We start from the raw sequence: 25,408 nt of genomic DNA on the forward strand, positions 1-25,408 counted from the left end.
GGGTCAGGCCTGGCACTGAACATACAGATCTGGAGGCGACCTGGTTTGCTCTCAGGTCAAAGGCAGAGACAGGCCGGGCGCGGTGGCTCACGCCTGTAATCCCAACGCTTTGGGAGGCTGAGGCAGGGAGGTGGGTGGATCACCTGAGGTCAGGAGTTCGAGACCAGCCTGGCCAACATGGTGAAGCCCCGTCTCTACTAAAATCCAAAAAAAAAAGATTAGCCGGGGTTGGTAGTGGGCGCCTGTAATCTCAGCCACTCAGGAGGCTGAGGCAGGAGAATCAGTTGAACCCAGGAAGTGGAGGTTGCAATGAGCCGAGATCATGCTACTCTACTCCAGCCTGGGGAACAAAGCCAGGCTCTGTCTCAAAAAAAAAAAAAAAAAAAAAAGAGCAAACAAAAAACAAAAAACATGGCAGAGACACAGAAGGCCACATAAATGCCTCAGGAAGATTTGGGACAGATGCCCAGAGGGTGGGCACTGTCACCCACATCCACCACTCCCTCCAATATGGCCATCTCTCATGGTGACTCAAGGATGGCCACAGCCCATGGACCAGTCTGAGACAGAGGGTGGGGCAGCATCTGACTTCTTTTTCATGTTGAATATCCCACAAAAATCCCTCTGACTCATAGCCTGGGCTCCTCCTGCCTCCAGGGTCTTCTCTTTCCCAGGGTCTCTATGCCACATCACAGACACCTAGTTTCTGACTTTTCTCCACCAATTGAAGAGACATTTGCCCCGTGGACCGAGCCTGCCCTTACTCTGTGTCATTAAGACCCTTCTGGTGGGCTGAGTGCAGTGGCTCACGCCTGTAATCCCAGCACTTTGGGAGGCTGAAGCAGGAGAATTCTTTGAGCCCAGGAGTTCAAGACCAGACTGGGCAACATAGACTCCGTCTCTACAAAAAATTAGCCAGGCAGGGTGGTGTGCACCTGTAGTCCCAGCTACTCAGGAGGCTGAGGCAGGAGGATCGCTTGAGCTTGGGAGATGGAGGCTGCAGTGAGCCAAGACCACACCACTGCACCCCAGCATGGGTGACAGAGTGAGACCGTGTCTCAAAAAAGACAAAAAAAGCCCTTCTTTATCGGGCTGGGCGAGGTTTCCATGCAGTAACCCATCCAATCAGGATGTGCTGCTCAAAGTCTTACATCTTCACCTCAAGGAAATTCAGCAACCGCAAAACACCTGCTGACTCCTGCCGAGATCCCGCCACTGCACTACAGCCTGGGTGACAGAGCTAGACTCCGTCTCCAAAAAAAAGCATTCTTTTTTTTTTTTTTTAAAGAAATGATCAATTAAAAAACCTTTAATGCTCAGTTTTCACAAACACAATCAAGTCTATCAAATTTCCGGATTTACAGCAAAATGTGCCAGCTAAAAAGGTGTACATTCTTCAGTTTCTCCTATACTTTTTTTTTTTTTTGTGCCTATCTTTCAAAACTGAGCACTGGGTATTTTTAACATAAGCCATGTCATATGTACATTTTAACTATGTTTCAGGAATAAATGAAATCCATGATATGAATTTTCAGTAACTCATAGTGTATTTATAAAATGAAAAGTTCTCTATCAAAATACACTTTTCACTGGGAAAAATAAATAAAATAGACAAATGGACCTACACAAAGTAAACATTAACTTTGGTAGATTTCAGTGTAGTTCATAACAAGGATATTTGCCCTTATTCCCCCAGAGCTGCTCAACTACCAAGAATTTTTTAAATATTTTTAACTGAGATTTTATTATGTTAACATTTGTTTCTCATTCCACATCATCTTCAGCCAAGCTCTGAGCACTTAGAATTCTCTAATTGTTGGGAGCTTAGTCAAAAGCATCTGGAACACTAGTGGTGGAAGAGTTTGCTGTAAGGCCTGCAGTAACTGCTGTGGCTGTCCACACACAGCAATTCCGTTTGTCAGATGGTCTACGCCCTTCTCATATTCACCTTGAGCTAGTAACTCTTCACCAAGCTGTATTTCTTCAAGGAAGAACTTCTGAACAGCTTCAGCATCTTTAAGGTCAGGTAACTTGGAAAGCCCAGCTCTCTCCTTGGCAAGCTTCTGTTTCTTTCTTCCATCTCAAAGCCTGTTCTTGAAGTTGGGGTCACTTCGTCTTTTGTGGTCGAAGTAGATGCAGTACCCAATAAAAAGGGCCCCAGCGCTCATTCTTTAATTAAACTTCATTTAGCTGCCATCTGTCTCGGTTCGAAATGGCATTATTAACTTATATATAATTTGCCTTATTCATTGGTTGAAAAAGCCCTGCCAAGTGAAGGACTCTTCTACCCAGGACCGTGGGGAGTGATGCCCAACACATGTCATCTGTTTCTGTAGGATAAACACAATCTCTGATCAAGTGCGGGGAGGCGGAGTGTCTGTACGGCCTGGTCCTTGTGCTCCCTGATGCAAAGTGAGCTTCCTCAGCCGTGCTGCCTTCTCACACAGAAGCATTCACCTGTCATGGGCCTGAGTGACCTATCACATCCCCAAAACCACCACCTTCCTAGTCCTTCTCCACAACGCCAAGAACTCACTTACTCACCAGATTGGTGAAATAGTAGCCATCCTCTCCAGTCATCAGTCGGCTTGGATTGCAGAAGCACGTGATATACTGGATATTAGACTGAAGGCATGGGGGTTGCCCTTCAAAACAATGTAGATGAGGGTGGGGAGGAAGTCATCTGCTGACGCCAGCTCGTTCTAGGTGATCTTGATGGCATCGAAGATGTGCTTGCTGCACTTGGTGATGCAGGCCAGCTTGTCTCGAGGCACACGCCTGGAATCCATTTCAATATCTACAAAGCAGAAAAGACAGTATTTCCCATGAGAAAAGAATCACAAAAAAGAAGCAATAGGAAAATCATGTTTCATCTCTAAAGTTATGAAGGAATCCTCACTAACCCCCTTTCCAGCAGTTAACTTAGTGTATAATAACTTAGTAAATATGATCTCATACTCACGGAAAACAGACCCATAAGCCAAGTACTACACAGTGTACCCTACAAGCACATTTCTCTAATCCTAAGATTATGCAATAGATACTCTTATTTTTTCTTTTTTTCTTTTCTTTTTTTTTTTTTGAGATGGAGTTTCGTTGTTTTTGCCCAGGCTGGAGTGCAATGGTGCAATCTTGGCTCACCGCAACCTCCACCCACCAGGTTCAAGTGATTCTCCTGCCTCAGTCTCCCGAGTAGCTAGGATTACAGGCATGTGCCACCATGCCCAGCTAATTTTGTATTTTTAGTAGAGTTGGGGTTTCTCCATGTTGGGCCAGCTGGTCTCAAACTCCCGACCTCAGGTGATCCGCCTGCCTCAGGCAGCCTCCCAAAGTGTTGGGATTACAGGCGTGAGCCACCACGCCCAGCCACAATGGATACTCTTATTAATATTATCCATTTTAGTGATGAGGGGGCTGAAGTTCAGAGAAGTTAAATGATTTGCCCAAGATCATACAGACAGCAGGTAGCAGGGTGGGAATTTGAAACCATGTCTATCTGACTGTAAAGCCCACAGTCTTTTTTTTTTTTTTTTTTTTGGAGATGGAGTTTCACTCTTTGTTGTTCAGGCTGGAGTGCAGTGGCCTGATCTCTGCTCACTGCAACTTCTGCCTCCTAGGTTCAAGCGATTCTCCTGCCTCAGCCTTTCAAGTAGCTGAGATTACAGGCGCCTACCACCACGCCCAGTTAATTTTTGTATTTTTAGTACAGACAGTGTTTCACCATGTTGGCCAGGCTGGTCTTGAACTCTTGACCTCAGGTGATCTGCCCGCCTTGGCCTCCCAAAGTGCTGGGATTACAGGTGTAAGCCACTACGCCTGGCCAAGCCCACATTTCTAATCACAACGTAAGCTGCCTCTGAGCTCCACGGAGAAGGAAGAAGTTGTCTGATAAAAGAATCTTTTTATTGCTTCTGTGCCTCTGTTACATTTTAGAATGTTTTCGACAATCTCAATTTGCATACCGCTTTTTAGAAATGTGGCTACTACAAAAAGCATCTTTGTACTGGATGCGAGAATACAAAAATTAGCCCACGTAGGGGTGCGTGGCTGTAGTCCCAACTACTCGAAAAGCTGAGGCAGAAAAATGGCTTGAGCCCGAGAGGTTGAGACTGCTGTGGGCTGGGCTGGCCCCGCCGTGGGGCCGCACGGGGACGGACGCGGGTGGACGCTGGGACCGAGCCCGGGCGCCCATGGCTGGGGCTGCCATGGCTGAGCGGGGCCACGTGCCTCCCCCTCGCGCCCGCGCCCGCGCCCAGCACGGAGGGGCTGCCGTGCGCCTTCCTGCAGAGCCTGCGCACCCTGTTGGACATCCTGGACGACCCGCGGGGCGGCTGCGTGCACCTGCGCCAGAGCCAGTCCCGCTGGCGGGGGGCCGACACGCGGGAGCTGCCCCGTGGGATGCTGGAGGGCCTGCGCCAGGTGGCCTCGGCCAGTGGCTGCCTGACCTTCGAGCGCTTTGTGGCCGACCTGCCCACCTAGCTGCTGAGCGCCATCGGCTGCCCCCGGGACCCCACGTGCGCCCCGGCCCAGCCTGGGGACCAGCCGCTGCAGCGCCTGGCGTTTACGCTGGCCAACGAGCCACAGACAGTCCTGGAGAAGCCCCCGCCCAGGTTCAGGCGGCGCGGCGCGGCCCGCAGCCCGGAGCAGCTGTACACCCCCCGCCGAGGCGGCGTCCTGCCCGCGGAGCCAGAGCGGACCCAGAGCGCAAGCGCGGACGCAGGTTCATTGGCCTGCAGGGCCCTGGAGGTGGACTCGGGATGTCCGACTGGCCCCCCGTGCCCGAAGGGAAGTCGGAGGCTCACCATCACCAGCGGCGTGGACTGCGGCCTGCTGAAGCAGATGAAGGAGCTGGAGCAGGAGAAGGTGGTGCTGCTGCAGGGTTTGGAGATGATGGCGGGGTCGCGACTGGTACCAGCAGCGGCTGCAACCAGTGCAGGACCGCCAGTGCCGCCTGGGCCAGAGCAGAGCCAGCGCCGACTTTGGGCCTGCGGGGAGCCCCCACCCACTGGGGCGGCTACTGCCTAAGGTACAGGAGGTGGCCCGGTGCGTGGGGGAGTTGCTGGCTGCGGCCGGTGCCAGCCGGGCCCTACCTACGTCCTCCTCCGGGCCCCTCTGCCCTGCCCTGACGTTCACCTCCTTCCCGGGGTGGCAGCAGCAGACTATCCTTATGCTGAAGGAGCAGAACCGACGCCTCACCCAGGAGGTGACCGAGAAGAGTGGGCGCGTCATGCAGCTGGAGCAGAAGTCGGCGCTCATAATGAAGCAGCTGTTTGAGGCCCAGGCCCTCAGCCAGCAGGACGGGGAGGCCTCTGGACTCCACCTTCATCTAGCCCGTTTGGGCTGGGCGGAACCCCAGGGCAGTTCTGTCACTCAGCCCTTCGAGGGCGGACGCCCTGTCTCACCCAACGTCTCTGGCTGGAGACCCCCTGCAGCCCAGGCAGTCCCGGAGTGGGCGCCTTCCTGCCCCACTTGCCATCCAGGCTTCCCAGGTCCGCCCCCAGCTGGTCCCCGCACCGAGCCCTTGACTCGGTTTTGGCTCCTGGTGCTGACATGGGCTGGGGCTCTCTTGAGTCTGCATGGTCCGCAATTGCTACTGCCGCTGTCAGGAACAGTGGGGGACTCCCTGTTTCCAGCGGTGCTGCTCTGGGTCCCATCTCCAGGGAAAGGCAATGCTCACGCCGGGCTGCACTTCCGACAATGGCCAGTAGAGGGGGGCCGGGCAGCTCTGATGCGGCGCTGAGGCTGCGCCCGAGACCAGGGGTGCAAGGACAGCTTCCTCCCCTCAACCAGGGCACCAGGACAGGTGGCTGTCACTAGGACAGGGGCAGATGGAGGGGGTGGGGATGGCCTCTAAGCAGGGGGTGCCCGCCTGGCAGGGGAGCCCCAGGAATGGTGGTCGGACTTCGGGTCCCGGCCAAGGCAGAGAGAATGGCTGCAGCAGATTGCGGGGTGGGGGGGGCCAGGCAGGTGAGAGCTTAGCCTGCATATGCCTCCCGCAGACCCCGGTGTGATGGCCTTCCTCACCCTGGCCAGGACGCTGTCCCCTGTTGAGTCCCACAGAACAACCTGTGAGCCTGGCTCCCCAGGAGGGGGTTCAGCCCAGGCCCCCAGGCACATCGTAGGCAGAGCCTGCCCCCCCACCCCAACTCAGGATTCCCAAGGTCTGGGGTCCTGCTCACTCCCCACCCCCGTTTCCTCCCACACTCAGCCTGACCCCAGGTTTCAGCGGGGAGAGGCCACTTCCCTCAGCCAAGGAAAACGAGAACCCCCAGAGTACAAGAGGAGGCTGGGGCAGGTCCCCTTGAGTGTCACTCCCTGCACCCCCTGCCTAGGCCCACTCCCGCTGGTGCTGGGGTTTGCACTGGTGGAGGGGGCCCCTGCTCAGCCCATCCTGGAGGGTCCCAGTGCCACCAGAGCTAGGGGCATGGCAACATCAAGGATGGTCCAGGGCCCCCCGATGCAGGATCAGTGTGTGGGGTGCAGGGCCCCCCAATGCGGGGTCAGTGTGTGGGGGGCGCAGGGACCCCTCGTGCCCAGGGCACTTTGGGGCACTGTCCCACAAGGCAACCCTGTCTCAGAGGAGGGGTCCTGGCAGACAGCACGGCAACTCCTTTCCAGAACCCAGCTCCACGCTAACCTGCCCACAGCAACCCCTCAGAGCCACATCCCCTGCTGCATCTGGCCTGCAGGGGTGTCCCAGGACACGCCCAAACCAGCCCAGCGTGCAACTGCCCTCCTACCCTGAGGATGGGAGTGAGCTTTCCAGGGGACATAAGGACGCCAGGCCTGGATCTTCTGGGCAGGAAAGGGAGTGGGTCCTGAAGGACTGTGCCCCACAGCCCTAGCACCACAGCCCCAGCACCAGGTGGACTGCAGCGCAGTGGGTTGGCCAGCGGCAGCCCGGGAGAAGCCGCCACCCCCGTCAGCAGGCTGGAGACAGCCCATTAGGGCCTCAATCACGTCTACCTTTGAGGGTGCCTGCCATGCCCTGGGAGATCCTGGCATCTTTACAGGACTGGAAGCAGGAGACAGAAGAGTGTCTGCCCCGGGCTGGCAGACGGTTTGAATGGTGAGTAAGACAGGGTTTTATTGAGTGAAAAGGAAGAAAAGGGGGAAAGAAGGACTCTCACAAGGCCAGAGTCTCTGCTACAGTGCTTCCTGCCAGCAGCTAGAATCCCAGGTTCTACACAGAAAGAAGAGGGGCCAGGCTCCTCCCTGCTACAAAAGACTGCGCCACTTCCCGAAGCTCCACCCCAGTGCACAGGCCGGTTGGAGTTTTTCCGGGGGGCTCCACCCCAGTGTACAGGCCGGTTGGGGTTTTTCCCAGGACCCCTTCCCACCTAGCAGTCTCACCATGACCAGCTCATTCTTTTTGCTATATCTACATATTCTTAAATAGATTTAATGCATGTTTTGATAATTTACATGTTTTGTGGACATTTCTATTTATCTAACCCACTGAATCCTTTTTGGTAGCTTTGTAACATTCCATTATATTAACTGACTTATTTGACTCTCTACCACTGTGCATTTGGGTTGCTTCCCCTCTTTTCACTGTTGTGCACTGCAGCTATAAATAATTTTGTAAGGACTATCTTCTTTTGGGTTACTTCTCTGCGATACATTTCCAAAAGTGGTATTAACCGCTTAATAAGAATAAATAGGTCGGGCGCGGTGGCTCGCAACTGTAATCCCAGCACTTTGGGAGGCTGAGGCGGGTGGATCATGAGGTCAGGAGATCGAGACCATCCTGGCTAACACAGTGAAACCCCGTCTCTACTAAAAACACAAAAAATTAGCCAGGCGTGGTGGCGGGCGCCTGTAGTCCCAGCTACTCCGGAGGCTGAGGCAGGAGAATGGTGTGAACCTGGGAGGTGGAGCTTGCGGTGTGCCGAGATCGCACCACTGCATTCCAGCCTGGGTGACAGAGCGAGACTCTATCTCAAAAAACAAAAAAAAACAAAAAACAAAAAAGAATCAATGTTATAGCACTAAGTGTCTATTGCTAGCCACACTCCTCAGAAACTCGGTGCACACTGTCATTAACCACGTGTACGCGCTTATTTCCCTATGGCCCTTACAACATTGGGCTTGATAATTTTCATTTCGTTTTACTGATTTTATAGGTGTAATATATGTATTTATTCCTCACTTTCTGCCAAAGAATATTTAAAGTCTATTTAAAAGATAAATGCAATTCAGCATAACAGACTAGAAAATAAAAAGAATAACAACTGTAATACCAATGCTCTGGGAGGATGAGGGAGAATATCGATTGAGCCTAGGAACTCGAGACCAGCCTGGGCAACATAGTGAGACCCCATCTCTAGTAAATATAGATAGATAGGCATTAAACAATTTTTTAAAAATTATAAACAATAGGCCAGGCACGGTGGCTCACCCTGTAATCCCAGCACTTTGGGAGGCTGAGGCAGGCAGATCACCTGAGGTCAGGAGTTCGTAGACCAGCCTGGCCAACATGGTGAAACTCTGTCTCTACTAAAAATACAAAAATTAGCCAGGCATGGTGGCACGTACCTGTAATCCCAGCTATTGGGAGGCTGAGGCAGGAGAATCACTTGAACCCAATAGGTGGAGGTTGCAGTGAGCCGAGATCGCGCCATTGCACTCCAGCCTGGGGGACAAGAGAGAGACTTTGTCTCAAAAAATAATAATAATTTAATAAGTAAACAAAAACAAACAAACAAAAGAAACATGGAGAAACCCCACAGGCAGAGCCACAGATGACAAGACAGAAATGTTTTCCTGGAAGATGTCTAAATTAGTCAAGAGTCAGCCCATACATCTATCTGTCTCTAACTAAACTTTTTAGCAATCATCACTAAGATGAAAACAGTTACATAACTCAGGGTTCAAAAGATGAAAGCAAACCAATCCTTCAGGTGAAATTCTGACACCAAAATCAAAAATTTCTCCCAAGGGTTCTCATAAGGATGTCACGATAGAAGAGCATGAATAAGGCTGAGAACAAACCCCCAGGACTGGTTGTCACAGACCCCATCTACCACAGGCCAATGACATCACACGCCAAGGGCCAATACATCCTGTGGAAGCCTGCAGCAGCCTAACTGTCTGGCTTAACTCTAAAAGGATGGCAGGACACTCGGGGTCAGGGGCAGTCACCTCATTCCCTCAGTGAAAATGGCTAAGCACTCATGGCACTTTTTGATTACCTTGACTGCAGCCCTTGTTACTATCAACTAGTTACCCATATACGTGCCATTTATTTGAACTAAAATTGATCCCTCATCTATAAAGGCCTAGGTATGCTGGGTGGGGTGGCTCATGCCTATAATCCCAGCACTTTGGGAGGCCAAGGCAGGTGGATCACAAGGTCAGGAGACTGAGACCATCTGGGCTAATACAGTGAAACCCCGTCTCTACAACAAAATACAAAAAATTAGCCGGGCGTGGTGGCACCACCTGTAGTCCAAGCTACTTGGGAGGGTGAGGCAGGAGAATCACTTGAACCCGGGAGGCAGAGGTTGCAGTGAGCCGAGATTGCACCAGCCTGGGCAACAGAGTGAGACTCTATCTCAAAAAAAAAAAAAAAAAAAAGCCTAGGTACTACCTTTAATAAAGTTTAGATATTTCACTATATTAAGCCCTTATTTATATTCATGACTTCCCACTGTTGCCTTCTACTTTATCTGAGTTTTATTTTTTATCGCACAGACTTTTAAAAAGTTAATACAATTAAGCCTTTTACCCGGTCATTAAAAACAATTCTTTTGGCCGGGTGCAGTGGCTCACGCCTGTAACCCCAGCACTTTGGGAGGCTGAGGCAGATGGATCACCTGAGGTCAGGAGTTTCAGACCAGCCTGGCCAATAGGGTGAAACCCCATCTCTAATAAAAGTACAAAAATTAGCTGGGCGTGGTGGTGTGCACCTGTAGTCCTGGCTACTTGGGAGGCTGAGGCAGGAGAATTGCTTGAATCCGGGAGGCAGAGGTTACAGTGAGCCGAGATGGTGCCACTGCACTCCAGCCTGGACAACAGAGTGAGACTTCATCTCAAACAAAACAAAACAGAAACAAAAACCAACTTTTCAATTTTCTTTAAAAAAAAAAAATAATAAGACAAGGTCTCACTGTGTTGCCCAGGCTGGTGTCAAACTCCTGGGCTCAAGTGATCCTTCTGCCCTGACTTCCCAAAGTGCTGGAATTACAGGTGTCAGCCACTGTACCAGAGCAAAACAATTTTTCGATAGTTCAATTTTAGCTCCTCTCCACTGCTGAAATACATGTTCTAATCTACTCCCCAACCCCCACACACAGTCTTGCTCTCTCACACAGGCTGGAGCGCAGTGAGTGATCTCACTGCAACCTCTGCCTCCCAGGTTCAAGCGATTATCCTGCCTCAGCCTCCCAAGTAGCTGGGATTACAGGCATGAACCACTACACCCAGCTAATTTTTGGTTTATTTTGTTTGTTTGTTTGTTTTTTTGAGACAGTCTCGTTCTGTCGCCAAGGCTGGAGTGCAATGGTGGGATCTCGGCTAACTGCAATCTCCGCCTCCCGGTTCAAGTGATTCTCCTGCCTCAGTCTCCTGAGTAGCTAGGATTACAGGCACCTGCCACCACGCCCGGCTAATTTTTGTATTTTTAGTAGAGACGGGGTTTCACCATGCTGGCCAGGCTGGTCTTGAACTCCTGGCCTCAAGTAATCCGGCTGTCTTGGCCTCCCAAAGCTCTGGGAGTAAAGGCATATATCCTAACTATATACCCAGCCTATATCCTAACTACTTTCTTCTCAATTTTTTCATGTTTAGCTCTTTGATTTGGCTGGAATGTAAGGTGCATGGTACGAAACACAGAACTAAAATAAACTCTATACAGGTATCTGTCATCATCAGCAGTAGTTAGTAAAGTGCGATCTTGTTCCCCCTCATCCTCCCAGTTGTCATATAAATTGCTCCTCAGAAATTAAATCTATTTCTGAAATCTCTGGTTTATTTCACTGTTCTATATTTTCATTTTTTACCCAAATCTCATCTAGGTGTGATGACTTTCATTTTAGAATATATTTAAAAGTCTGCTGAATTTAGAAGCCTCCCTGCTTCACAAATTCTTGCTTTTTACCCCTCACAAAAAGAATCATATGGTATGTTTGTTTCCTTGTTTTCATAGAATAACGTAACATTATAACTTAAATGATATTTTAAGTGTTTATACTGACCTGCAAAGTATTTTTCATATTTTTCTTTTCTTTTTTTTGAGACACAGTCTCGCTCTGTCACCCCGGCTGGAGTGCAGTGGCATGATCTCAGCTCACTGAAACCTCTGCCTCCCAGGTTCAAGCGATTCTCCTGCCTCAGCCTCCTGAGTAGCTGGGACTACAGGTGTCCTCCACCATGCCTGGCTAATTTTTGTATTTTTAGTAGACACAGGGTTTCATCATGTTGGCCAGGTTGGTCTTGAACTCCTGACCCCAAATGATCCACCCGCTTCAGCCTCCCAAAGAGCCAGGATCACAGGTGTGAGGCACCACGCCCCACCACCATCAAACTGTCTTTTAATTCTTTAGATGAACTTCTAATTTGCTACATTAAATTCTCAATATTTAACATTCTTTATTGCTGTTGTCTTTAAAAATTACTATTTTTAAAAAACATGCTAGGCTGTTTAATTTTCTTATCACTAGTATGTACACTGTAAGTAAATTTTTTAGACTTATCTTGCCATGTTGCTATATTTGTACTTTTATTACTGTTCTGTTTTCCCTTGGATTTTCCTAAGATTCTTTCTTTCCTGGATTTCCTAAAAATTACATTTGCATTCCTTCTAAAAGCACTCATTACTCATTACATGATTAGTAGAACTCAAGCCACTGTACCAATTCTATAAAAAGGTCAAGAAAATGCTCAGATGGCTTTCAATTTAAGTGAGAAGACTGAATACAATCATTATAATATTCTATAATTACAAACAAGAAGGACAAAGTACTGTGGGGCATACCGTCAGTCTCACTTTTTCTTACTGGAGCTGTCTCCTTCTCTAGATAGGTACTGTGGCAGCAGCAGTTAAGTGTGCTTATTTTATACTAACGCCTGTTGTGAGATGGTGGTGACCAGATCTTTCTAGCGATGCTCGCGAGAAAGATTGTTACCTTCCTGCTCTGCGGTGTGAACCCAAGTAGATCCAGAACTACTCTATGAGAAAAGTCCTGATGTTACCCACCCTACCACTACAGTTGACTGTGAAAGCAGGATGAGCCTCGATCTGAGCATGCTCTGTACGTCAAATGCACAGGTTTTCATTACCACCACCCCACATCTCTATTTCCAGTTCTCCAAAGAGACTTCCATCTACCCCTCATCTATGAATTGATGAAATACATTTACCTTATAAATTCTCTAAGTTTCATTTCTGACAAATACATCCATGGACTACACTTTAGATCTGCTGGAGATATTTTTTCAGAGAACTAGTTTTAGTTTTATGCCTGGGATTTTTTTGTATTTTTAGACAAGAGTCTTGCTATGTTGACTAGGCTGGAGTGCAGTGGTGCCATCTCGGCTCACTGCAACTTCGCTTCCCAGGTTCATGTGCCTCAGCCTCCCTTGTAGCTGGGATTATAAGTGAGTACCATTGCACCAGCTAATTTTTGTATTCTTAGTAGACACGGGGTTTTGCCATGTTGAACAGGCTGGTCTCAAACTCCTGGCCTCAAGTGATCCTCCTGCCTTGGCCTCCCAAAGTGCTGGGATTATAGGCATGAGCCACCACGCCCAGCCTATGCCTGGACTTCTATGTAGGTAATCACAGTAGTAGCTACATGAAGAACATGTCCATAAGAACATGTTTATCAACTCCAAGTACCATCAAATTATGACCCTGTTCTCTCACTCTTATTTTAAATTCATTCTGTAAACCTCAAATCCTTTCAATAAGTAGAATGGGTCTGTATAACAAAAGGACTACCATTATGGAGTGTGACATTTTTTCTCTCTCTCTTTTTTTTTTTTTGAGACAGAGTTTCGCTCTTCTTGCCCAGGCTACTAGAGTGCAATGGTGCGATCTTGGCTACTGCAATCGCCACCTCCTGGGTTCAAGCAATTCCCCTGCCTCGGCCTCCTGAGTAGCTGGGATTACAGGTGCCTGCCGCCACGCCTGGCTAATTTCTGTATTTTTAGTAGAGATGGGGTTTTACCATGTTGGCCAGGCTGGTCTTCAACTCCTGACCTCAGGTGATCTGCCTGCCTCGGCCTCCCAAAGTGCTGGGATGACAGGTGTGAGCCATCACGCCCGGCCAAGATGAGCTTTTTTTTTTTTTTACTATTAAGACCTCAAGTCTAACTTTAACATGGGTGACAGCATTTTAACTGATATTTGAATTTTCTTTTATGGTGCTATAATTTAACTTGTTATTGTTTAATTTATTTATTTTTCTTTAGAAGTGGCATTTCACTACATTGCCTAGGAGGGAATGTAGTAGCTGTTCACAGACGTAACTGTAGCTCACTGCAGCCTCACATTCCTAGGCTCAAGCAATCCTCCTGCCTCAGCCGCCTCCTGGGTAGTGGGGACTACAAGTATACACTGCAGTGCCCAAATCTGTCCTTTTAGTTCATGTATTTTCTGCAAAACTTATGCATTCATTCAGTATTCTTAGGTAGTTTACAGATGGTTTTACACCTTTCTTTTGCACCGAATTTTAGCACTTAACTTAGAAGAAACTATATTCATTATTGTGATTATTATTACAGGTTTGAGCATTCCTAACTCAAAAATAAAAAATCTGAAATGCTCAAAAATCCCAAATTTGTCAGTGTCGATATGACACCACAAGTAGGAAATTCCACACCTGGCCTCATGTGATGCGCTGTAGTCAAAAAGCAGCCAAAACTGTTTCATGCACAAAACTGCTTAAAATGTGGTATAAAATTACCTTCAGGCTATGTATGTAAGGTATATATACAACAAATGAATTCTGTGTTTGGACTTGGGTCCCAGTCCCAAGTTATCTTATATATGTGTAAATATTCCAAAATCTGGGAAAACCCCAAAATCTGAAACACTTCTGGTCCCAAGGCTCTCGGATAAGGGATACTCAACCTGTAGTGCTCGCTTCCAACTAGAAACCCTCTGAGCTCCTTTTAGAGACCCGAGAGGCCTGTCTTACTGGTGTCAAGGGATCATGTTCTCCTCCCCGAGCCCCGCACAACCCCTGTAATTTTACAATACAATGCCGAAAACTCCTTTTCTATTCCTACTGCAGTTTATGCTCCAGTACAGTATTGCTCTCATAATGTAAAAGAACTCCCCTGCCACTCTCTCATCCTGCTTTCCATTCTTATAGGACTTACCACTATGTAACAGATCTCTTTATTGTCCATTTCCCCAACTAAAATGTTAGCTCCACGAGGGCACTGTTCACCACCATATCCTCATGCCTAGAACAGGGCCAGGGACATGGTTAGTGCTCAGTATGGGTTGACTGAATGAATGTGGACATTTATTACCATTCCTCCCTTTATAAGATGCTGAAGACAATTCTCCATAGATTTCTTTCTACCTATCTGTGAGCAGAGGCAATGACTGCCTTTGTTTTGCAACATCTTTTCAAGGATATCTGTATAACAAACAGCTTTGGGAGACAGAGTGCCTCCTTCAAGAGAAAATGGTAGACTGCTTACTGTCCAATAAGGATCCCTAAGTCCAAGGTTCTTCTCCTCTAATACAACTCACTGCATGCACAGGCTTTCCCTGGTCTTCTCTGCATTATCCCATAGGAACAGATACTCAGGGGATAAGCACAAATGCAAATGCACTGGCTACTGCTACTGCTGTAAGAAACTGGCCTTTGTGTCTGACCCAGGAGACTCGTGTCTTTGACCAGTATCTGTGAAACCGTGGGAGGTTAGGGTTAATTTGTTAGCCTGCAAATAAGGTAACTCTCAGGCCCCCCCTCAGTGTTTGCCAAAGGAGCAAAGTGAGAGCAGGTTTGTGTTGGTAAGTTCTTTTAGGCTCTACAAAACTCCAAAAGGTTTGTCATAGTTTTCCAAGAAAAAAGGATAGTAGAGCAGTGAAAGTAAACCCTTTTCCTCAAGTACTCTCTAATCATTGTATGGGATCATCTTTTCTATAACATCTGAGGTAAATCTGTCATTTTATTTTTCTAAAATAAATTTTTTACTTTGTGATTACAACATTGAAAGTTGGGTGTCTTTCTTTGACTATTATGCTGAGAGGCACTCCGTACACTTTCTTAACGGTCTGGCTGAGATCTTTGTTTTCACCTCCAGTTTTGAAAACCTTTGACTATTTTCCTTAACTATGTTTTCTGTGTATTTCATCTGGAACTCCTGTCATTTCAATGTGAATCACCACAATCGATTTTCTGGGTTCATTAAGTTTTGTCTGTACTGATGTTAACTGCTTCATCTATTTAGGTTTTAGTTTTGATGTCCTTTTTTTTTTTTTTTTTTTTTACCAATTTGTGCTGCCTTAAGTAGTTTTTTAAAGGAAAATAAACATATGAGGGCTTTAATCCTCTTGAAAAATGAAACGCTAACATTTCAAGTGTGCCAGGCATGCAGTCCTCATATTCTGAGAAAGTCCATCTCACCAGGGAATATATCTTGAGGTCATCAGTACCTAGCAGAACACAGATTTAAACATTTCCATATTTAGATGAAGAAAACAGGGCAAAACTAACTAATTTTCTCAAATTAAATTACTGGCAAAATAAAGGTGGTGGGAACCGTTAAGGTACATATGCTCATTTTGCATCTCCGAAAACAAACCAACCAAAAACCAGAAATCCGTCATTTTCAGCAGCTAGACAGTGTCTAAGGAACGCACATGTTCTTCACAAAGAGACAATTTGCTTTAAAAAAAAAAAACCCTTTAAAAATATAAATGACAATTAATTCTACTAGCTAGTTACGATCATAGAAGTTACTGAAGTCAACACTTGGTTGTTTTTCTCTAAGTTTTCTAAAAATCAACCTCTGTGAAGAAGAAGGAAATATGGAAAAGGACAACCTCACCCACATTACAGTTTATAGTTCTGGCTAAGGCTCAAATGGCAAGTGCTTGCTCTTCAACTTAAAGTCACCTTGTGTTTGTTTTTTTTGTTTTGTTTTTGTTTTGTTTTGTCTTAATCAAGGTCTCACTCTGTCACCCAGGCTGGAGTACGGTGGCCAGATCACAGCTCACTTCTGCCTCAACTGCTCAGGCTGAAATGATCCTCCAACCTCAGCCTCCAGAGTAGATGGGGCTACAGGCACTAGCCTAGTTAATTTTTTTTTTTTTTTTTAAGAGATGGGGTTTCAAAAAAAAAAAAAAAAAAAAAGAGATGGGGTCTCACTATGTTGCCTGGGCTGGTCTTCAACTCTTGGGATCAAGCAATCCTCCTGCCTCATTTCAGTCTCCAAAATGCTGGGATTACAAGCATGAGCCAGTGGACTCAGCTACACCTTATGTTTTTAATACAGAAACAAAGCTTGTGTTTCAGGTACAGCAAGTAGACCATGATTGTCAAGCCTTCCATTGCCCAGTATCTCTCTCTCTCTTTTTTTTTTTTTTTTTTTTTTTTTTTTTTGAGAAGGAGTCTCACACTCCTCTGGCCAGGTGGGAGTACACTGGTACAATCTCGGCTCGCTTCAACACTGCCTTCCAGGTTCAAGCAATACTCCTGCCTCAGCCTCCCGAGTAGCTGGGATTACAGGAACAGGCCACCATGCCTGGCCAATTTTTGTATTTTCAGTAGAGACAGGTTTTGCTATGTTGGCCAAGCTGGTCTTGAACTCCTGGCCTCAAGTGATCTGCCCGTCTCGGCCTCTGAAAGTGTTGGGATTACAGGCGTGAGCCACTGCACCTGGCCTGTCTCCATGCTTCTTCCACAGCCTGCAGAACGGTGAGCCAAATGAACCTGTTTCCTTTACAAGTGACCCAGCCTCAGGTATTCTTTTGTAGCAATGCAAAGGGATTAAGCCATTGTTTTATGTACCTTACAGGATAGTTACCAAATTCAGGAAAATTTACATTGATACGATACTTTTACTAAATTGAAAATCCATATTCCAATTTTCTCAATTGTTCACAATGCTCCCAGCCTTTGTTTCTCTCGCATGACATTTCTGAAGAACACAGGCCAGGTATCTTGTTGAATGCCATTTAGATTGGGTTAGCCAGTTGTTTCCTCATGACTGGATTCAGGTTGTTAAAACTTTTCGGCTTAGATATTTCATAAATGATGTTGTGTTCTCAAAGTGTCATGTCTGGAGGCACATGACATCTATCCTTGCCTCACACATCCCCATTTTATAGTTACCATTTCTCTATTTATAATTAATAATCTGGCTGGGCATGGTGGCTCACACCTGTAATCCCAGAACTTTGAGGCTGCAGTGGTGGGATCACTTGAGGCCAGCAATTCAAGACCAGCCTGGGCAACATAGTGAGACCCACCTCCAGTCTCCACAAAAAAACGAAAAAAAGAAAAATAAATAAATGATTCATAGGCAGTTAATTTGAGATCACGTTCATAACTTGTTCCCTGGGAAACTCCCTCCCCTCATCCCAGATTTAGCACCCAGATAAAGTTTACTTGAATCAATTTTTACTACTAACATGACAACTTTTTTTTTTTTTTGACATGGAGTCTCGCTCTTGTTGCCCAAGGTGGAGTGCAATGGGATGATCTCAGATCGCCGCAATCTCCGCCTCCTGGGTTCAAGCCATTCTCCTGACTCCGCCTCCCAAGTAGCTGGGATTACGGGCACGCACCTCCACACCTGACTAATTTGGTATTTTTGGTAGAGACGCGATTGTGCCATTTTGGCCAGGCTGGTCTCAAACTCCCGACCTTAGGTGATCTGCCCGCCTCGGCCTCCCAAAGTGCTGGGATTATAGGCCTGAGCCACCGTGCCCGGCCTTATTGTTCTTATTTATTTTGACACTCAAATTTATCCCAGACTTGGCCAGTGGAAACCCCTCCAAGCTGGCTTCTGGATCTTCTGAAATGTCCCCAAAATATTGAAGGGGCCCTTTTTTCCCTGGCCCAGCCCCAGAATCAGTCATTTCTCCAAGAAGCCCCGGTTCACTTTAGTGAATAATAGTATTTAGAATCTAAGGTCTGGGTGGTATTGGTATTTTAACTCTAAAAAAGGAAAGATATGCTTTGGAGGATCACTGTTTTCAGATCCATTTGTGAAAGAGGTACACAAGATTCTACTTGGGATGACAAGATTATAGGAGTTCTGAAAGAAAAGGGCACTTTGGAATGTATAAGCAAGTATCTCAGCTTGGCCAACCACTATGACTTCCTCTATACAGCTCACTCACCCTGACTGTGGAGACTAAAACACTTTAACTAAGTCTTTACAGTCAAGATATTCCATTTACTTTCTCTGACGGCATATCCCACTCTAAAAGAATGTAAAAATATTCTTCAAATTCCTTAGAAGGTTATTTGTATTTTGTCTGCTACCAAGCTGCTATGTATGGCATAAAAGCTTTCCTTTTTACTACTAACAGAAACAAGTAAAATACCAAGAGCAAGGGGATCACGGACTAAAGAAGGCAAAGAATACAGAATCCAAAAAGTCTGTTTCTAATCTAGACCCAATACATTAAAACTGCAGAGGCTAACCTTATCCAAACACAATGGCCAAACAAGTAATCAGTGTGAAATGCAAAATTTACCTGGCTAAGTTATATTAAGTGATCTGTGAAACAAAGACATAATGGAATCTTCTTTTCTAACATAAATTTTTAAATACTTTAAGGTCTTTATCCCCAAAAGCTTTCTACTGACAAAAAGCAACTAAAGAACAAAAAATCAAAAGTACAAATCTACCATTCAAAAAGACGGGGGGTGGGGAGAAACAAGAACAAAGGTAAAAACCATTCTGCATACACATTTTTAAAATAAAAGTCACTCGGCTGTTTCTTTTTTAAATTAATTTTTTTAATGTTGGTGTCTCACTCTGCTGCCCAGGCTGGAATACAGTGGCACAATCACAGCTCACTGCAGCCACTAACTCCTGGGCTCATGTAATCCTCCTACCTTAGTCTTCCAAATAGCTCAGATTATAGGTAGGTAGAAACCACTGCACCCGGCCCCAGAATTGTTTCTTTTCAAAGTACAGACTGCACTAACTTGTAAATCTTCTTTCCATAGTATCATGCACACCGTACAGAGGCTTTTGAGACACAGGTTTTTAAAACCACCAAGGAGAGTCAGTGAATATAAATGACAATTATGTACTTAAGTAACAGAAACGTATTTATATATATATATATATATTTACTATTTATTATATACATTAAATAACCTAGGTTTCTGAAGTATACACATTGAATAAAGGAATACAATGGAAAAATATTGACCCAGGAGTTAGGAGACCTGAGTTCTCATGTGCAAACTCATCGTGCAACCTTGGGTAAATTAGTTAACCTTTATGGACTTTCATATTGTCATCTGCAAAATGAGGCTATTAGAGCTGATAATTTGATAATTTTTTTAATATTTCATCTGTTATCATAAATACTTACCACTTCACTACATATCAGGAAGAAACAGACTTTAAGCTAAATAGGAATGAAGGATCTTAATAATAAATGGCCTTGAGCTCCCTGCAAGATTATTCTATCAGAAGAATAACTTGCATTTTAAAAAAGCTAACACTTACTGGAGATCTACTGTGTGAGTCAGGCACTGTGCTAAGCTCTGTACATGTGTCAACTCATGAAATCCTCATCACATGTCTCTGATAGGTATTACTGTCCCTCAGTGTGGACAAGACTTGGAGTGGTTAGTCCACCCAGGGTCACAAAGCTGGTAAATGACAAAACTAGGACTCAAACCAGGAATGACTGCAAAGTCACCTGACTAACCACCTGGAAATTTCACCTCCTAATAGATAAATCATGAGCTGAATACATTCTTATTTAATCTCTGGCAGGTACTAATTTTTCCCCCTTTTTAGTAGAGACAAAATAGCTACAACTGGCAGCCAACCAAGAAACAACTTCAAATTAATCATGTGAACAAAGATTTATTACTTAAAGCTAATCAATCTTTCTTTTTTCTTTTCTTTTTATTTTATTATTTTTTTTGTTTTTTTTAATTTTGAGACAGGGTCTTGCTCTGTCACCCAGGCTGAGACTACAGGCACATGCCACTGTGCCTGGATAATTTTTTTATTTTTTGTAGAAACGGGGTTTCACCATGTTGCCCTGGCTGGTCTCAAACTCCGGAGCTCAGGTGATCCACCCGTCGTGGCCTCCCAAAGTGCTGAGATTATAGGTGTAAGCCACCACACCTGGTATCCATGTCTTAAAGAGAAGTATGTTTTTGGTTATATGCAATATTTCCTTTTATTTCCTTACAATAAACCAAAAGAAAACAGCAAAAGTCACAAAACCTAGAGGACTGGCAAGGATCTTAAGGGATAAAAACTGTCTTATTATTCATTCCCCTGCCTCCAGGGGAGAAGATCTCATTACAATTACCCCAGGGTAAGAACTGGGGAGCAAGTGAGGGGGCTCCCAGAGAACAGGTTTTCTGACAGCATCAGTGTTGGTTCCCAGTCTCCCTCATTATTTCACATTCACTGCATAACTCAACATAAATTTTCAAAGACCGAGTACCAACATAAATTTTCAGAGACCAAGGCCTAACAACAGAGATTCTTTCTTGCTTCATATTGGGCCACTTCAACTGGGTTGTCTGCTCAATGGTAGAACAACTGTGACTTAAGTGACAATCCTCTTGATGGTTATATGGCATTTTAAGAAGCCGAGTGAATATGATCACCTACATACAAATCCATGCACTGGAAAATAGCTACTATGGCTCACTTTCATCCCTCCAGGAGCCCAATGTGGGCCTTTTCCTATATGTTCTCAATACAATTCCTCATGACACAAGCTGTCTCTCAAATAAGCTCTCAGGCAGAAAATCTCTCAGATGACCTTCAAGGCTAGAAATTGCCATTTCTGACAAGCTATGAACAATGAGGGTATGATACTACAGAACAAACCAGGATCCACAAATAAAAGGCGCAAAAACCAAATCATCCAAAGAGATAGTCATTTGGATGGGGATGAATTTCATAAACAAAACTACCTATTTCAATTCTCTTTATTCCTCCTATAAAGTAAACAAATTTCTCTAAAACACAATATCTTTCAACCAAAGAGAGTATTGGTTTCATATACTGTCTGACCCTCAAACCCAATTTCAGTGTCAAATCTGAGCTGATGTTCTCAAAAAGTTGACAGAAATTACAAAGCTGAGCCTATGAGCATTGGGGATCTCCTCTGTGTCTCACTCAGGCAGAGAAGAAAAAAAAGAGTATCACAACATTACCCTTCTTTGATCCGACCCTGGAAGACGTACTGAAGATTTCTTCACTGTGGTAACCTTGCGGGTCTTCTTGTTGGTTTTCTTTCCTTCAAACTTGGAGAATGTGAGGGATTGGGCCCCTTGGCTGCTCTGACTGCTGGCAAAGGCCTCTTCTTCCTCCCGCTGGAGTCTGCAATTCAAGAGAGGATTAGAATGATCTAGATATTCTCCAAGATTTCTCTATACCTGAAGGTTATTACTCCATTAATTCAGGAGGATCTAAAGATTTTAGACCTAGAGACTAAATATGCCAAATCAGTCTGAGGTCTCACATAGCTACAGGATGGACGGCTCTTCATGCACTACAGATTTCAAATGGGATCCTCTCATGCTCATTCAGCAACTGCTCTAGGTTACATGAAAGAAATCAAGTCTAGTCCTTTTCCCCAACAAGCTCAGTGAAATAAATAAAGTCTAGTCCTTTTCCCTAACAAGCTCAAGGCTGGAACAGACGAAAAGGTAAGTAAACAACTGCTACAGAATGGGACAGCTGCTACATCAGAGAGTAAAAGTTGAGTGCTGTGAGAACACAGGAAAGAACAACGCAATCTGCTGGGGGGAGCTGATAAGGCTTTACAACGGTGATGTTTGGGTGGGGTCTTAAAGGATAAATAGGATCCTTTTTTTTGTTGTTTTTTATTGAGACAGAGTGTCACTCCATCACCCAGGCTGGGGTGCAATAGTACGATTTCAGCTCACTACAACCTCTGCCTCCCGAGTTCAAGCAATTTTCATCCCTCAGCCTTCCAAGTTATTGAGACTATAGGTGCACACCACCACGTCTGAGTAATAAGGCTGACTAGGATTCTAAGTGAAAGGACATTCCAGGAAGAAGGAACTACAAATGTGCAAGCCTGTGGTTTGCTTCACAACAAGCTGAATGTAGCCAGAGCACTGGGCGTGTGATGAACTGTGATGCTGGATACACAGGAAGGCTCCAGAGGGTAGGGAATCTTGATTGCTGAGCCCACTATTCTGGATTTCATCATGTGGTGGGGAAGCAAGAAAGACTGTAAATCCAAGAAGTTATCGTTGTCAGATCGTTGTATGTACTTTAGAAAGATCATGCAGGTAGCTGTGTGAACAACTTGAAGGGTAGAGAAACTAGAGACAGGAACAAGAAGTAAGAGTATATTATAAAGGTTTAAGTAAAAGAAAATAAGCACCTGGAAAATAGGAGTACAAAAGGTAAAATTCAAGACTTTTCTGAGTTGGAAGAAACAGAACTTGGTCAAGTTGTAGGCAGCATAGGAGATGAAAGAGAAATCAAGAATGAAACCAAGGTTTTTTAGCTAACTTGGTAAATAGTGATGCCATTAATTGACTCAGGAGAAGGGTTAGGAGGAAAATGTTCAGAATGCGGAGAATAATAAATAAAAGCAATAAATTTGGGTTTGGATTAGCTGCATGTGAACCATCTGTAATAATTCCCAAACACAGGCGGGGTACAGTAGCTCACGCCTGTAATCCCAGCACACTGGGAGGCCAAGGCAGCCGGATCACTTGAGCTCAGGAATTTGAGACCAGCCTGGGAAACATGGTGAAACCCTGTCTCTACATAAAATACAAAAATTAGCTGGGCGTGGTAGCATGCTCATGTAGTCCTAGCTACTTGGGAGGCTGAAGCAGAGGGATCACTTGAGCCCAGGAAGCAGAGGTTGCAGTGAGTCCAGACTGTACCATGTACCACTGCACTCCAGCAGGGATGACAGAACAAGACCCTGTCTCAAAAAAACAAAAAACAAACAAAAAACTCAAGCACTATCTATAAGACAGTGGTTCTCCAAGTGTGATTCCCCAGACAGCAATAGCAGCAACACCAGGCAACTTGTTAGAAATGCAAATTCTCTAGTCTTACTCCCAAACTACTAAAATCAGAGATTCTGAGGGTAAAGTCCAACAATCACTGCTTTTACAAGCTTTCCGAGAGATTTAGCAGGGTCACAATTAAAAGCAGTAAGAAATAGAAACAAAAATCACAGGTGGAGGTGCTAAGTCTGAGGATGGAATCGGGACACCTCTTTCTCTGGGACAGACAAGAAGTTAATATAAAGGTATTAGTACATTTTATGTAGCCAGGGGAGGAAGCTGAGAGAGTTTGTGCCTAGTGGCCTCTACTCTGTTTTCGAAACAGGGTCTGCTACTGACAGCATGAGGCATGCAGTCGGAAGCCTGAGGAGATCATTCACGTTCTGGGTTAAAATTTTCTCTCTTTGATTGACCACAGTCACTGAAAGCAATGTGTAATTTCTAATTCTCTGGGTTTACCACAGATACCAGCAAAGAAGTCAACTCAACAAATATTGGCTGACTGGATGAAAAAAAAAAAAAACTAGCAAGAGTTAGCAGAATTCCATTTGACTTTCTTCTGTTGAAGCAGTTTTAGAATTTCTAGAATGCTCTGGCAAAGAATTAACATTATTTATGGCATTTTACTAGTTCCTATGCTCACTAGCCATCCCATCATTTAATTTTGTTTTGTTTTTTGTTTTTTTTTTTGAGACCAGAGTCTCACCTTGTTGCCCAGGCTGGACCGCAGTGGCACGATCTCAGCTCACTGCAATCTCCGATACCTGCATTCAAGGAATTCTCCTACCTCAGCCGCCCAAGTAACTGGGATTACAAGCACGTACCACCACATCCGGCTAACTTTTTAAATATTTTTAGTAGAGATTGGGTTTCACCATGTTGGTCAGGCTGGTCTCGAACTCCTAACCTCAGGTAATCCAGCTGCCTCAGCCTCTCAAAGTGCTAGGATTACAGGCGTGAGCCACTGCGCCCGACCCATCATTTAATTTTTAACATCACTGTATATCCAGATAATACAAACTGCCTTTGAGTAACCTAATTTTTAAGGAATAAATTTCTATAATGCAAGGACTATGTATACGAGTCACCAGAGTTCTACTACTGTTTTATCACTGAGCTACATGCCATGCTGAATATAGTAAAAGAACGAGAGAAATAATGCTTGATGACTGCCATTTGCAAGCCCTGCGCTGGGTACATCATATTTATTAGCTCATTTAATCTTCACCAGGAAATATGCCTGTCTCCATTCTTCCACTCCAAGGAATTTGTCTAAATTTGAGAACTAAGACTAACACAATCCAAAGAAAATAACCAGAAGTTAAGACAAACACAAAATGAAGAAACTACTGAAAGCTGTTCATTAAAGGTTGACTGAGAAGAAGAGGGGAAAACATCCTTTTCCTTAATATTAAACTGACTTGCTGATAGCTGAATGCAGAAGAGAAAAAATGTATTTGCACGGTGACAGAGCTATGTATCCAGTCACATCACTGATCAACCGCCCCTAGTTAAGTCCTTTTACCGTTCCACCAGCTCCCAGTACTCCTGAATCTGCTTCTGCCTGGCTTTGTGCTACTCTTCCCTCCAGCACTTGGAGCAGAAACCCTGCCAGGTAGGGTTGCCACAGTAACCACATCCTTTCTTGCACAGGATCCACATGAATTCCTCGGCGTTCAGACCTAAGGCTCATCTTCTTCCTGCTAACCAATGAACAAACAAGAAAGTGCTGTTGAAAATGAATTATCATCCTACTAAACTAAAACCTTACCAGTTACGAACAAAACCTGAGTGATTCCATTATCTTCAAGCCGTAAGAGAGGGAAGGAGGGAATGAATGAGGAAGGGAAGGAGGGAGGGAAAGAGGGGAGGAAGGAAGAAGGAAAAAGTTAAATATAGTAAATTCCTGACAGTTACATTAAAGAAAGACTTATTCCCTGCCCAAAATACAAAGAACTCATTAAGAAAGGGCTAACATTGGATTAAAGACCTAAATGTATAGGCTTGAAACTAGAAAACTCCTAGAGGAAAACTTAGGGGAAAAGCTTCCCAACACTGGATTTTGCAATGACTTCTAGGATATGACACCAAAAGCACAGGCAACAAAGGCAAAATCAGACAAATACATTACATCAAATTTTAATATCTCTGCACAACATAGGAAGCAAATGACAGAGTAAGAAGGAACAATATACAGAATTGTAGAACATATCTGCAAA

The 25,408-nt window shown here is 45.1% G+C and overlaps 2 pseudogenes across 8 annotated transcripts in view, besides 4 other annotated features; one reads left to right on the top strand and one right to left on the bottom strand.

Moving 5' to 3' along the window:
* RABGEF1P1 (RABGEF1 pseudogene 1) overlaps window positions 1-25,408 on the bottom strand; it is a 62,103-nt pseudogene that overhangs the window by 21,736 nt on the left and 14,959 nt on the right. For 2 of the 8 annotated variants that reach the window (NR_111972.1, NR_111977.1), the window contains 4 exons: window positions 24,715-24,892; window positions 21,345-21,510; window positions 8,539-8,635; window positions 1,428-2,797 (listed from right to left, as the gene is read on the bottom strand). The product of NR_111972.1 is annotated as an RABGEF1 pseudogene 1, transcript variant 3 (transcript). Of the gene's footprint in view, window positions 1-1,427; window positions 2,798-8,538; window positions 8,636-21,344; window positions 21,511-24,714; window positions 24,893-25,408 lie in introns of those variants that run through there. The other 6 variants (NR_111978.1, NR_111973.1, NR_111975.1 and 3 more) reach the window with 6 other exon arrangements.
* SAPCD2P3 (suppressor APC domain containing 2 pseudogene 3) lies at window positions 4,112-5,734 on the top strand (annotated as a pseudogene).
* Window positions 5,476-6,291: an enhancer, noted in NCBI's record as "H3K4me1 hESC enhancer chr7:66022503-66023318 (GRCh37/hg19 assembly coordinates)". NCBI's record gives its function as "activates a minimal SCP1, AML or CMV promoter by ChIP-STARR-seq in naive H9 embryonic stem cells {active_cell/tissue: H9 hESC(naive)}" and the evidence as "EXISTENCE:reporter gene assay evidence [ECO:0000049][PMID:30033119]".
* Window positions 5,687-5,796: a silencer, noted in NCBI's record as "silent region_18206". NCBI's record gives its function as "represses an Ori minimal core promoter by ATAC-STARR-seq in GM12878 lymphoblastoid cells {active_cell/tissue: GM12878}" and the evidence as "EXISTENCE:reporter gene assay evidence [ECO:0000049][PMID:35858748]".
* Window positions 6,292-7,107: an enhancer, noted in NCBI's record as "H3K4me1 hESC enhancer chr7:66023319-66024134 (GRCh37/hg19 assembly coordinates)". NCBI's record gives its function as "activates a minimal SCP1, AML or CMV promoter by ChIP-STARR-seq in naive H9 embryonic stem cells {active_cell/tissue: H9 hESC(naive)}" and the evidence as "EXISTENCE:reporter gene assay evidence [ECO:0000049][PMID:30033119]".
* Window positions 7,134-7,366: a silencer, noted in NCBI's record as "fragment chr7:66024161-66024393 (GRCh37/hg19 assembly coordinates)". NCBI's record gives its function as "represses an EF-1alpha promoter that drives an FKBP-Casp9 reporter gene in an ReSE screen in K562 erythroleukemia cells {active_cell/tissue: K562}" and the evidence as "EXISTENCE:reporter gene assay evidence [ECO:0000049][PMID:32094911]".

The sequence above is a fragment of the Homo sapiens genome, chromosome 7 (genome assembly GCF_000001405.40).
Source record: "Homo sapiens chromosome 7, GRCh38.p14 Primary Assembly".
Taxonomy (NCBI): Eukaryota; Metazoa; Chordata; class Mammalia; order Primates; family Hominidae; genus Homo; species Homo sapiens.